This window comes from Homo sapiens, chromosome 13 (genome assembly GCF_000001405.40).
Source record: "Homo sapiens chromosome 13, GRCh38.p14 Primary Assembly".
NCBI lineage: Eukaryota > Metazoa > Chordata > Mammalia > Primates > Hominidae > Homo > Homo sapiens.
In genome coordinates this window covers 54,300,280-54,314,914 of record NC_000013.11, presented here as the reverse complement: position 1 = coordinate 54,314,914, position 14,635 = coordinate 54,300,280, and the positions used below count along the sequence as shown (strand labels likewise).

Sequence of the window (14,635 nt, the reverse complement as noted above, 5' to 3'; positions counted from 1 at the left end):
AAATCAGTCATAAGTATTTGGTAATAAAACTATAATATTACGATTAATAACTAATATTAAAAATGACATCAATAGCAATAATTTAATCATGCATAATCATATATTTAAAATAATCATTAATGATTAATAACGTATATTATGAATTAATATTACCATTGATATTATTAAGACTGATGTTTAATAATTAATAATATTAAGACTGTTTAATAATTAATAATATTATTATTCCTAATACCGCAGGGGATGTACACCTACCTGTGATAGTTTCTATTATCCAGGGATGGTGAGCATGATATTAGTTTTAATATCACAGTAGGTGTACACTCACCCTGTGACACTGATCCTAATATCCAGGGGGTAGAGTATGACATGACTCCCAACATAGCAATGAATGTACAGCCACCCGGTGATATTGCTCCTAATATTCACGGAAGAAGTGTATGATATTACTCCCAATACCGCAGGGAGTGTACACCTCTTCTGTGATATTGTTCCTAGTATCCTGAGGGGGAGAGGATGATAATAATTCCAGTATCGCAGGCTGTGTCCACCCACCCTGTGATATTGTTATTAATATCCTGAAAGGGAGAGGATGATATTACTCCCCATGATAGGTATTACTCCCCATAATAGAGCAGGAGGTGTACACCCACCCTGCGATATTGTTCCTAATATTCAGAGGCGGAGAGGTTGATATTACTCCCAATATCGCAGGAAGTGTACATCCCCGTGTGAGATGGTCCTTAATAATATTCCAAGGCGGAGGGGGTGATATTACTACATATATCGCAGAAAGTGTACACACCCCAGGGATATTGTTCCCATGATCCTGGAGGGAAGAGGATGATATTACTTTAAATATCACAGACGGTGTACACGCCCCCACTGATATTGTTTCTAATTTCCACGTGGGAGAGGAGGATATGACACCCAATATCGCAGGGAGTAGAAACACTCCTGTGATACTGTTCTGAATATTCAGGGAGGAAGAGGATGATATTACTCCCAATACAGACGGGTGTACACCCTCTGTACACGGAGGGTGTACACTCGTCTGTGAAATAGTTCATAATTTCCAGAGGGGGAGATGATATTACTCCCAATATCGTAAACAGGCTGTGAGTCCACCGTGGGTCGTAATAACCAGGATGGGAGAGGGGCTGGCTTTTACTCCCCGTATGGTGGGGGGTGCCTCACCCCTTTGCGATGTGGGTCTTAATAGCCGGGGAGGGGGGGGGAGGGGCTGGCTCTTACTCCCCGTATTCACCCTTATCTGGCCCCACCCGCATCCTGCTGATTGTTCCATTTTACAGAGAGCTGATTGGTGCATTTACAAACCTTTAGCTAAACACAGAGTGCTCATTGGTGCGTTTTCAGTCCTTTAGCTAGTCACAAAAGTTCTCCATGCCCCCACCTGATTAGCTAGACACAGAGTGCTGATTGGTGCGTTTACAAACCTTTAGCTAGATAGAGTGTGCTGATTGGTGCATTTACAATCCTTTACCTAGACACAAAAGTTCTCCAAGTCCCCACTCCATTAGCTAGACACAGAGCGCTGATAGGTGCATTTACAATTTTTTAGCTAGACACAAAAGTTCTCCAAGTCCCTACCTGTTCCAGAAGCCCAGCTGGCTTCACCTCTCACTGTCACTCACTGCAGGACTTTTCTGCACCTAGCCCGGGCACTCTGGCAGCCCAGAGCAAGCTCATTCCCTGATCTAGCCCAGCAGGCACCGGCAGGACGCACTGAGAGTGGGGCTCGTGGAGCCTGCACCCACCGGGAACCTGTGTTGGCCCGCGAGCACCACATGCAGCCCTGGCTCCCGCCTGCACCTTTCCCTCCACACCTCCCCAGGAACAGAGGGAGCCGGCTCTGGCCTTGGCCAGCCCCAGAGAGGGGCCCACATGGTGCAGCGGCGGGCTGAAGGGCTCCTGGAGCGCAGCCAGAGTGGATGTTAAGGCGTAGGAAGCGCCAAGAGCGAGCCAGGGCTGCTAACACGTTGTCACCTTTCAATAGTGTCTACTTCTAACCATTTGGAAAATACAATCATGTTTTGTAGTCAATTTGAAGATGACATACCCAGATTTTTCAATAGATTAACAACAGATTTGATAAATTATAGTAGAGTATCTCTACATATCCATTTTACCCCATGTTTATCTGATTTGCTCTTCCATGTTTATTTACATCACTTTTTACTTTTGCATTCTACCCAAGGGTATTTGCTGGAGTAGGTAGGAATGTTAACTCCCATCTCTAATAATTTCTGAAATTGCATGATCCCTAAGGAAAAATATGGTCATGTACTGTACTTCTATATTAATAATGCTTTTTACTTATGGAAATTTGACAAGCCATTGAAGGGTAGAAATGATTAGTATGTTGGATATAATGGAAAGTACTCTCTACTTAACTGATTCTTCATTTGTTTTATTGCATTAAGGGGAATAGAGCTAGCAATGAATTTACCTCTGCTTGAGTTTTATTCCTTTGATCTCTTGCTTCATGGAATCTAGCTCTTCCTTTCTTTTAATGATTCAGTAATTGCTTACCATTCCATTTTTCTATCCTTTGACCTAAGCTAACTAGTTTTTTTCAGTAGCATAACACTACAATAACTGTTATTTCTACTATTTCCCTTTAGAGTTATACAAGTATAATGAGGAGTCCATTGAATTGTATTTTAACTGTATAAATACACAAAAATGTGAAATGTTGAGAAGTGAGTCAAGTTTATATGTTGCATGTAATGTATCATACATAATGTGTTTCTCATCTTAGATTTTCATAGGACAACATCTTCAACCTGTAAAATGATATTTTGAGGAGAGCAGACATTTCAGTGAGTCTAATTTTAAAGTTAGGTGTTTATCTCTAGGGTTGATCTATTAGAATTACTTATCTGAGCCAAAGTAATTCAAGTAATTCAGGTGTAGTGAAACACTTCTAATTTTAAATTCAGAAGCACTGAAGAGTGAGTTGGATTATTGGCTGTAGCACTTACTTGATCCTCTTTCTTATCACCCTTGACTTTTAAAGCCTGGCTTTAAAAAAATATATGCTTCAGAAATTCATGTGCTCACCAGCATTTGATTCATTAATTTTGAAAGACTATTACAAAGGACTCTTAGCGATGATAAGTTTAGAGATACCAAAAACCCAAGTCTGAACTTTGACAATTAAAAGACATGTAAAAATGCCAGAATGAATCATAGGTTCCAAAGTAAATCTTGGGTAAAGGTGACATCATAACAAGCAAGTCATAGGCAAGTCACAATTGCTTTTAAGTCTAAATCCTCACTCAGTGACTTCTTCGATTTAAAGGTGGGGAGAGACTAAAGAACTTTCATTTTGTCAGTGTTACATAGGTTTTCAGTGTATACATTTGAAAGACTTTTATCTTTGTGATTCATTAGCAAGTGTTTCAAAAGGTTAAAGAGAACACAGATTTTATAGGTATCAAACTAAACTTCTATGTGTCAGGCCTCTGAGCCCAAGCTAAGCCATCATATCCCCAGTGACCCGCACGTATATATCCAGATGGCCTGAAGCAACTGAAGATCCACAGAAGTGAAAATAGCCTTAACTGATGACATTCCACCATTGTGGTTGGTTTCTGCCCCACCCTAATCTCCCCCACCCTTACAAAGTTTCTTTGTAATTCTCCTTATCCTTGAGGATGCACTTTGTGAGATCCACCCCCGCCCCCAAAACATTGCTCTTAACTCCACCGCCTATCCCAAAACTTATAAGAACCAACGATAATCCCACCACCCTTTGCTGACTCTCTTTTCAGACTCAGCCTGCCTGCACCCAGGTGAAATAAACAGCCTTGTTGCTCACACAAAGCCTGTTTGGTGGTCTTTTCACACGGACACGCATGAGGCACTATGTGACTAGGCACTTAATGTTGATTTTGGAGACCTAGGGATAAACTTAGTTAACTTTTTGGATATCCTCTTTCCTTTCTCCCTGCCTCCCTCCCTCTCTCCTTCCTTTCCTCTTTCTCTCCTTCTTTCTCTCATTTCTCTTCTTTAATATGTAACAGCATTTAGCAAGAGTTGGGTTAACATTTCTGGCATTATTATAATCACAATTTCCATCCAGTATTCCTTATTGCAGTGTATTTATGTGTGTGTGGTATAATGTGTATACCTACAGATACACACTAATATGAAACATATAATATATAATTTTATACTATGGTAGAATTGATACTAAAAAACACTGTTTAATATTAAAGAATTACTTATAAACTGAGTTTTTAATGCTTACCAAATTACATTCCAGTACTGATGTAAACTGTTTTCAAATGGGAAACAACAAAAAGTTACACATTTTAGTGCATTATTACCAAAATAAAATATATTTAGTTATCTTTGTCTTCCAATTTTTTATAGCTTGCTGTTTACTCTCTACTGTGTTGGCACAGTAGAGATTAGAAATACATCATTATGCTGTTTTACATGTAAATAATTCTGAATAATAATAATTCTGAATAATTCACCATTCCACTGGGGAAACAAGCCAGAAACTACTACTTGATATAGTCCTTAGATGGAACTAGAATTATTACAGGGAGAGGAGAAGGGAAAAAAGGTGACTTCAAGATAGCTAAGAATTTTAAAAAACAGAGAAGGGACAGAACAGCTCTGATGTGTTAGAGTGAGTGGAGAGAGAGCCCTTTTGCGAGAGAAGGGGCTCTTGGACTTGGTGGGAGGCAGTCTGCATGCAGATGGCTGTGTCCCCATCAGGGAAGATTTGAACAATTAGTCCAAGTGGTGGGTAAACAAGTTTCTAAGCAAAGAAAAAATAAATTTAGTTAAATGAGAGGAATAAGTTCAAGAGACCTGTTGCACAATATGGTGACAATGAATTGTATTCTTGAAGATTGCTGAGAGTAGATTTTAAGTATTCTCACTACACACACAAAATAGCTGTGTAAGGTAATGCATATGTTTATTAGCTCAATTTAACCATTCCACAATGTATACATACTTCAAAGTGTTATGTTGTACATGATAAATATATAAAATTTAATATGTCAATTTAAATAAATATGTTTTTAAAAATAAGAAAACATCAACCCTGAAAAAAAGAAAAAAATAAGTCACCAAATTTCAGAAAACAAAAAAAGAAATATGCTAAAAGTAAAGCAATGTAAAGCACATCTCAGGAAAGTGAGTATGCACAGACTTTGGTCCTACTGCATACTTCCACTTCTGCCATTTATTGCAGTCATTGCTTATTGACCATAAGGTTTTTCCCTCTAGAGTGTCGACTTGATTAGCCCTAGAAATATTCACAAGCCAGTACTCCCAGAACTCATTATTAGTGGCACATAAGATGAAACTTATTTATCATCTTAGAAATAATGTGTAAGATAAAAGAAGAATTATAGATAGAAATCACTAACGTTAACCTTTTTAACTTGCAATAATATAAATAAACCATTTTATTTTATTTATTTTATTTTCCTGAATGGATAGATTATTCATTACAAAATAATGGGGGTTTGCCTACTACACAGAGTTTATATAATTGTGTTCTTATATTATGGTCTACACACTACCTTCAGCAGTTTCTCCAGAGTCCTCTGCTAAAGGTATGCTAAATGAAAACCCAGGGTATTCAGGTGAGAACCTTGAATGAATCTGTTACACAGAAATGTTTGGAAAGTATGAGTAACACTCATCTGGGTACCTTTCTGAGTATCAACACTGAAATAGCAAATCCTGATAGAGTCAACCTGGGTAACTTACTGTTCCTTAACACTGTAATACTTACGGAGTTTAATTCACAGCTCTAGAGGCACCAAATATAATGGATGAGATAAAATGTAACACAAATACATGCACAAGTATATATGTACTTATACAATAAGAAAATAATATATTGACATAACTGTATTGTTTTTGCTGTTTACTACCAAAGCTGCAGACTAGATGACAGTGAACACTTGACCAGGCATAATCATGCAGGGCCTCCTCCCTGGACCCCCTTTCTCTTTTGGCCTGGTGCTGCTGTGTCACTGTGTTAGTCTTATTCCTTCTGCTTATGTGTTCTATAAGCTTAATAGAGTGCTGCCCCTTGTAAGTTCTTAATAAAGACTTGTTAAATTCAATTGTGCTTGATTTTCCCCTTTGGCTAAACAAAACAAAATAACACACCATCCAGGGCTGTGAAGAAAGGAATGCTTTTTGTTATTATTATTTTTATAGCTTTTCATAGGTAGCCAGATTAGATTCAAGCCATTTCTTGTTTAACATCAAATTCAAAGCTACCAATAACCAAGCTATATCATAAAATGTAAAGGTACATCCCTCTATATTTTTCTTCATTTCCCCCCCACATATATATTTTAGCTTTTGTGCCTTTCCTCGCCTTATTACATCTGCCTGAAACATCTTTCTTCTCCTTACGTTCTTTTTTTAATTTAAATTTAAAAAAAAACTCTAGAAGTTATTGTGTTACAGATGGTATTTGGTTACACGAGTAAGTTCTTTAGGGGTGATTTGTGAGGTTTTGGTGCACCCATCGCCCAAGCAGTAAACACTGCACCATATTTGCAGTCTTTTTTTTTTTTTTTTTTTTGAGACAGAGTCTCGCTCTGTCCTCAGGCTGGAGTGCAGTGGCGTGATCTCAGTTCACTGCAATCTCAGCCTCCCAGGTTCAAGCGATTCTCCCACCTCAGCCTTCCAAGTAGCTGGGATTATGGGTACCCACCACCATGCCCAGCTAATTTTTGTATTTTTAGTAGAGATGGGGTTTCACCATGTTGGCCAGGATGGTCTTGATCTCCTGACCTCATGATCCATCTGCCTCGGCCTCCCAAAGTGCTGGGATTACAGGTATGAGCTACCACGCCCGGCCATATTTGCAGTCTTTTATCCCTTGCCCCTGTTCCGCTCTTCCCTCCAAGTCCCCAAAGGCCATTGTATCATTCTTATGCCTTTGTGTCCTCATAGTTTAGCTCCCACATATCAGTGAGAACATTGATGTTTGGTTTTCCATTGCTGAATTACTTCACTTAGAATAATAGTCTCCAATCTCATCCAGGTCACTGCAGTTGCTGTATCCCAGAGGTTTTGATAGGTTGTGTCATTTAATTTTTTAATTTCCATCTTGATTATGTTTTTAACCCAATGCTCATTCAGAAACAGGTTATTTAATTTCCTTGTGTTTGCATGGTTTTGAAGGTTCCTGCTGGAGTTGATTTCCAGTTTTATTCCACTGTGGTCTGAGAGAGTGCTTCATATAATTTTTAAGTTTACTGAGGCTCATTTTATGGCCTATCATATGGTCTATCTTGGAGAAAGTTTCTTGTGCTGTTGAATAGTATGTGTATTCTGTGGTTGTTGGATGATATGTTGTGTATATATCTGTTAAGTCCATTTGTTCCAAGGTATAGTTTAAATCCATTGTTTCTTTGTTGACTTGCTGTGTTGATAACCTGTCTAGTGCTGTCAGTGGAGTATTGAAGTCCCCCACTATTATTGTGTTGCTGTCTATCTCATTTCTTAGGTCTATTAGTAATTGTTTTATAAATTTTGAAGCTCCAGTTTTAGGTGCATATATGTTTAGAATTGTGATATTTTCCTGTTAGACAAGGCCTTTTAGCATTATATAGCTTCCCTCCTTGTCTTTTTTGTTTTATCTGATAGAAGAATAACAACCCCGCTCTCTCGCTTTTGGTGTCCATTTGCATAAAATGCCTTTTTCCAGCCCTTTACTTTAAGCTTATGTGAGTGCTTATGTGTTCGGTGAGTCTCCTGAAGGTAGCAGATGGCTGGTTGGTGAGTCCTTATCCATTCTGCAATTCTGTATCATTTAAGTGGAGCATTTAGGCCATTTACATTCGGTGTTAGCATTGAAATGTGAGGTGCCATTGCATTCATTGTGTTCTTTGTTGCCTGTGTACTTTGTGTGTTTTTTTTTTTTTCTCTTTAACTTGCGTTTGTGTTTTAAAGAGGTTCTATTTTGATGTGTTTCCAGGATTTATTTCAAGATTTAGAGCTTCTTTTAGCAATTCTTGTAGTGGTGGCTTGGTAATGGCAAATTATCTTAACATTTGTTTGTCTGAAAAATATTGTATTTTTCCTTCACAGATGATTCTTAGTTTTGCTAGATACAAAATACTTGGCTGATAATTGTCTTGTTTGAGGAGGCTGAAGATAGGGCTTCAATCCCTTCTAGACCGTAGGGTTTCTGCTGAGAAATCTACTGTTAATCTGACAGGTTTTCCTTTATAAGTAACCTGGTGCTTCTCTCTCACAACTCTTAAGATTCTTTCCTTCGTCTTTGCATAACCTGATGACAATGTGCCTAGGTGAAGATCTTTTTGCAATGAATTTCCCGGATGTTCTTTTTGCTTCTCCTATTTGGATGTCTACGTCTCTAGCAAGTCCGAGGAAGTTTTCCTTGATTATTTCCCCAAATACGTTTTCCAAGCTTTTCAAATTCTCTTCTTTCTTAGGAGCACTGATTATTCTTAGGTTTGGTAGTTTAACATAATCCCAGACTTCTTGGAGGATTTGTTCATATTTTCTTATTCTTTTTTCTTTGCCTTTATTGGATTGGGTTAACTAAAAGACTTTGTCTTTGAGCTCTGAATTTCTTTCTTCTACTTGTTCCTTTGCTGAGACTTTCCAGAGCATTTTGCATTTCTAAAAGTGTGTCCGAAGTTTCCTGAATTTTTTAGTGTTTTTATTTAAGTTGTCTATTTCCTTGAGTATTTCTCCCTTTACTTCTTGTATCATTTTTTTTGGATTTCCTTGCACTGGGCTTCATCTTTATCTGGTCCCTCCTTGATTAGCTTAATAACTAACCTCCTGAATTCATTTTCAGGTAAATCAGGGATTTCTTCTTGGTTTGGATCCATTGCTGGTGAAGTAATATGATTTTTGGGCAGCACTGAAGAGCTTGTTTTGTCATATTACCAAGGTTGATTTTCTGGTTCCTTCTCATTTGAGTAGGCTTTGTCAGAATGACAGTCTAGGGCTGAAGGCTGTTGTTCAGATTCTTTTGTTTCACATGGTGTTCCTCTGATGTAGTACTCGCCCCCTTTTCCTATGGATGTGGCTGCCTGTGATCCAAACTGCAGTGATTGCTGTCTCTCTTCTGGGTCTAACCACCTGGCAAGTCTACCTGGTTCTGGCTGGTACTGGGGCTTGTCTGCACAGAGTTCTGTGATGTGAACTGTCTATGTGTCTCTCAGCTGTGGATACCAGTGCCTGTTCCAGTGGAGGTGGTGGGGGCATAAAATGGACTCAGTGAGGGTTTTTAGCTTTGGTGGTTCAATGCTCTGTTTTTGTGCTGGTTGGCCTCCTGCCAGGAGGTGGCGCTTTCCAGAGAGCATCAGCTGTGGTAGTATGGGGAGGAACCAGTATTGGGCAGGGCCCTAGAACTCCCCAAATTATATGCCCTTTGTCTTCAGCTACTAGAGTGGGTAGGGAAGGACCATCAGGTGGTGGCAGAGCTAGGCCTGTTTGAGCTCAGACTTTCCTTGTGCAGGTCCTACTGGGGCTGCTGTGGGGGATGGGGGTGAGATTCCCAGGACTCTGGAGTTGTGTACCTAGGAGGATTATGGCTGCCTCTGCTAAGTCATGCAGGTTGTCAGGGAAGTGGGGGAAAGCCAGCAGTCACAGGCCTCACCCAGCTCCCATGTAAACTGAAGTGCTAGTCTCACTCCCATTGTGCCACCTGCAACAGCCCTAGTCTGTCTCCAGGCGGATAGGAATAAGGATCTGAAAACTGCCCCAGGTTACCCACCTCCCAGCTGTGAAAGAAAAGGGTTTGGTTCTTCCTCTGCCTGTGGAGTCTGCACAAGGGATTTGCACCCTCCCCCAAGTTCTGGCCAGGAAGCTTCTCAGGCGGTACAAATTGTTACAAAGTTCAGCTAGAGCTTTCCTTCTCCCTGTGTACTTTTACCCTGTGCTTCTCTCCCATTGCATCCCTGTGGTGCCAGGCAGGAATGGCCTGCTAGGGGATCCATCAAGATCCTACGGCCTTTCTGCTGCTTCCTCTATCCCTGTATTTCATTTGGCTCTCCAAATTGACTCAGCTCCAGGTAACGTCGGAAACTTCTCCTGTAAACAAACCTTCAGCTTTTCCAGTGGGAGTGTGTGTTCAGGAGAGAAGGATCTTCCTTTCCTGCTTCCACGGTTGGGGTACTCACAAGTTTGGGGAGGTCTCCCGGGTCTTGTAGGAGCAGTCTGCTTCATTCAGAGGGTCTGTGGGTCCTCTCAGGATTGCTGGTTTGTTGTTGCAGTCGACCTGGAGCTAAAATTCACAATGTGAGCCCCCGCATACGGCTCTGTCTGGAGCTGCAATCTAGTCCTGCCTCCCGTCTGCCATGAAGATCCTTCCCCTTACATTCTAGCTCTTCCTCACCTCTGCCTGTCCAGATTTCAGACTTCTCTGACCTTTCTTGTAAAAATAAATGTTTCATTTTAAAATGATCCATATATCTCTATGTTTACTATACCTCTTTTATAACATAAAAATGTATATTATTGGCCAGGTGAGGCGGCTCATGCCTGTAATCACACCACTTTGAGAGGCCAAGATTGCTTGATCTCAGTAGTTCCCAACCAGCCTGGGCAAAATGGCAAAGCCCCATCTCCATAAAATATACAAAAAAATGATCAGGGCATGGTGGTGTGTTCCTATAATCCTAGCTACTTGGGAGGCTGAGACATGAGAAGCACTTGAACCCGGGAGGCAGAGGTTGCAGTGAGCCAAGATTGCACTACTGCACTCCAGCCTGGGCGACAGCTAGACTCTGTCTCTGAAGAAACAAAAGCAGAAAGAAACAAAAAACCACCAAACCAACCAACCAACCAAACAAAAAAATCCCACAGTTATATTTATGGGGTTATGGTTTCTTGTTTATATATAAATGCCTACAAGAGGAGATTCTGTTTGCTTCCTCAGCATGTAGGAGTATATTGTATATGTTCAATTATACTTGCTAAAATTAGTGAATGAATAAATGACCAATGAAGCTAGCTTTGAGGATTGTGAAAGGATTTTTGTTTTGTTTTGCTTATTTTTACTTTTCAAAAAAAAAAAAAATGCCCTGAACTGTAAATGGAGCCACTCTATCAGTCCTGATGAGTAACTGAGTTACATTTGGAAAACTCTGATGGATATTTTTGAGATCTTTGTGTATAGAACCATGCCTAGCATGGAAAGAAAACACAATGGATATAAAAGAAATTCAATTATATCTTTGTGACTCATTTCTATTCTACCTAAGTAACCACTGTGCATTTGCTTTAATTATTCTATCTAGAAGATTTAGAGATAGTTAAGAAAATGAGTTATAATGCCTACAAGTCTTTAACAGAAAAAAAATTAACAATGCAGTATAAAATTTTATGATAAGAGTGAAAAGTTACATAGGGAGGACATATTATGTTTTAAAATGTATTTGAATCCACTGTCAAAGCCATTGTATGAGATATACTTGGCCTATTGATAGGCATAAAAATGAGTGGAAAGACTCGTGTTCAGTAAAGCTCAGCCAAGTATTCCTAATAACTCTGAAAAAAAGTTTACAACTTTCAAATAGCTTTTGAAACTATAAATTTAGGGGAAAATACATTTATTAGACTATTTCAATCTAACGTCTTGATTTGTTATATGTTACTCCAATCAAAATTCCACTCTCTTACCTAAATGACAAAGACAAAAGAGTAATTTATTCCCTGAGGTACTGAATGTTGAGAGTTTGTATTATGGGATTAAAGACTACCAAAGATAAAATATAATTATTTCACTGGATTTGTTTTTCTCAGAATTTGTTATATTGTACATTACCCTATCCCCCTAATTCAGATTATAACACTAAAACATACCTGGATTATTACATTTACCTGTGGATTACCTTCTTGTCCCTAGAAACACTGGCATTCCAGAAAGTAAATTTATTTTTCACTTTTGGTTTTAGATTACTCACTTTTGGTAAACTGTTTGTGCTATATATTTCTGGTGAATTGTTAACTGATGAGTCTCATAAAACACAGTTAAATGCTACAAAGACAAGTCTCTTGGCTTTATCAAATATCTTCCAAAAATTGTGAAGCCAAATGAATAGATTTATCCCGTCTCCTCTCACCCCAACATAAAAGGGGGAAAAAAAAAAAAACAAAAGTATTTATCTTATTGCTGCATAATAGCCTTATACTGTCCATACATAGCCTCTTTTACATCTAGTATATTTTATTGAAATATACAAAACATTTAAAAATTGTAAAATATGCTAAAAAAATACAGCAAAATGCAAGTTATCCGTCAATGTCACCCTTTGGAAAAAAGGAAGCTATTCTACATATTTCCTCTGAATTTGCTTTGAAATATGAATAAATTCCCATGACATTTTGGTAAATGTATTTTCCTTAAAAAGATGCTGTGAATTTCTGGAAGTCTACGATTTGGCAATTACTAAAGAAAGTATTCATTTCTCATGTATAAAAAATAAATGGTTGCATTAAATACATGTAACCTGTCAAAATGTGACTTATGGTTGCCTCCAGCAATAGCAACTCATGTGCTCTGCTCATTCAATTTAATAATACATTTTCAATAATAAATAAATTAGGCAATAAATTTGTGTTATGTACTGAAACCTAGAAATACTTTTTTTCTCTCTATCTTCTATCTCTCGACCACTTTTCTCTGTCTTTTCCTCTTTCTCTCCCCTTTTCTTGCTCTCTTTTCCAATGCTTAGTACTCCACTGAAATCAACATCTTTTGAAAAAATATGTAAAACAAGTATTATACCAAGAGAAAAATAAACAGTCCATAAACAGGGCAATAATCTATATAATCAACACTCCTTGAAGGAGGTGGAACAAGATGGTGGAATAGAGCCTTTCGGTAATCATCACCACACAGGAACAACAAATTGCACAACTATCTATGCAAAAAATATTCACAAGAGTAAAGAAATCAGGAGAGAGATCACAGTATTTGATTTTGACATAATAACAATAAAAGGAACATCGAAGAGAATGTACTATCGCACATTGCTTATATGATCCATCCACAAACTCCAAGCAGTGCAGTATGGAGAGAAAATCCACCCGTTTGGGAGACGGAGAGAAAAGTTTGCATGGGACTTTGCCTTGGAACCCAGTATAGGCCCAGCCAAGGTAAAACATGGCATCATGTGTCTTCTGATTCCAGGCTGGTGCCCATGGACAGAACTTCTAGAATCACCCTGGGCCAGAAGGGAATCTGCTACCTTGGTAGGATGAACCCAGTCCTGACTGGCTTTGCCACAAGCTGACTAAAGTGGCCTTGGGTCCTGAATAAATGTCAACGGCAGTCAGGTAGTAGCAGATACGGGCCTTGGGTGAGCCCTGGTGTGATGCTGGTGTGGGAAGACTTCAAGTGCAACACAGCATGGTGCCAGCTGCAGTAAACATAAGGATGCTTGCATTACTCTTCCCCCCAACTCCAGGCAATGCAGCACAAAGACTTTTTATGTTTGTAGGAAGGAGAGGGAAGTGAATGTGGAACTTTGCTTGGAAACTCAGAAAACTCTCCCTGATCTTCTCCAAATCCACTAGGAGTGAAGACCTAGGAATCTGAAAGGTATTTGCAGTGAACCAGGATTTAGGGTGCTCTCTAGTGTTAAAATGTATGCAGTGACCACAGGCTTGGGGAATTTAGTAGTCACTCTCCTTTAAATTTCTACAAGGCCCTCAGAAGAGGGGCAGATACAAACAAGGCCAGACTGCAAAAATTAGAAGAAATGCCTAATTTTTCAATATCTAGACATCGACATACATCCACAAGCATCTAGAACGTTCAGGAAAATATAATCTCACCAAGTGAACTCAATATGATACCAGTGACTTACCTGAAAATATGAAAATGTATGACCTTACAGAAAAGGAATTCAAAACAGCTGTTTTGAGAAAACTCAACAAATTTTAAGAGAACAGAGAAGCAACTCAAATATTTACTAGAGAAATTTAACAGAGATTAAAATAATGGACAATCAAACAAATTTTGAAACTATAAAGTACAGTGGAAAAAAGTGAAAATGCATTAAAAAGTCACAACAGCAGAATTAAGCAAAAGAAAGGATAAGTGGGCCCAAAGACAGGCTATTTGAAAATACATGGTCAGAAGAGAAAATTTAATAAAAAAGAAGAATGAAAAGTAGCAAAGAATTCTCTATGGGATAGAATCAAAAGAGCAAATGTGAAAGTCACTGGTCTCCAAGAGGGAACAGAGAAAGATAAAGCAGTAGGAATGTTTTCAGGTCAATAATAATGAAAAACATTCCAAACCTTGAGAAAGATATAAATATCTGGTACAGCAAGCTTAAAGATCAGAAAGTCATCAAGTAGATTGAACCCAGTAAGATTACTCCAAGCATACAATAATCAAATTCTCAAAGGTTAAAGACAAAGAGATAATCCTAAATACAGCAAGAGAAAAGAAGCAAATAACATTTAAAGGCACTCTGATACATCTGGCAGTAGGCTTTTTAGTGAAAACTTTAGAGGCTAGGAGGGAGTAGGATGACATATTTAAAGTAATGAAGGAAATAAAACTGCCATCTGATAATACTGTACCCAGCAGAGATATACTTCAAACATAATACAGAGATAAACA

The 14,635-nt window shown here is 38.7% G+C and overlaps 1 non-coding gene across 1 annotated transcript, besides 1 other annotated feature; it reads left to right on the top strand.

The window, feature by feature from the left end:
- Positions 1–2,866: 2,866 nt before the first annotated feature.
- On the top strand, positions 2,867–2,943 carry MIR1297 (microRNA 1297). The gene has a single exon (NR_031628.1). It is a non-coding gene; the product is annotated as a microRNA 1297 (primary transcript).
- Positions 7,538–8,107: an enhancer, noted in NCBI's record as "NANOG-H3K27ac hESC enhancer chr13:54880943-54881512 (GRCh37/hg19 assembly coordinates)". NCBI's record gives its function as "activates a minimal SCP1, AML or CMV promoter by ChIP-STARR-seq in naive H9 embryonic stem cells {active_cell/tissue: H9 hESC(naive)}" and the evidence as "EXISTENCE:reporter gene assay evidence [ECO:0000049][PMID:30033119]".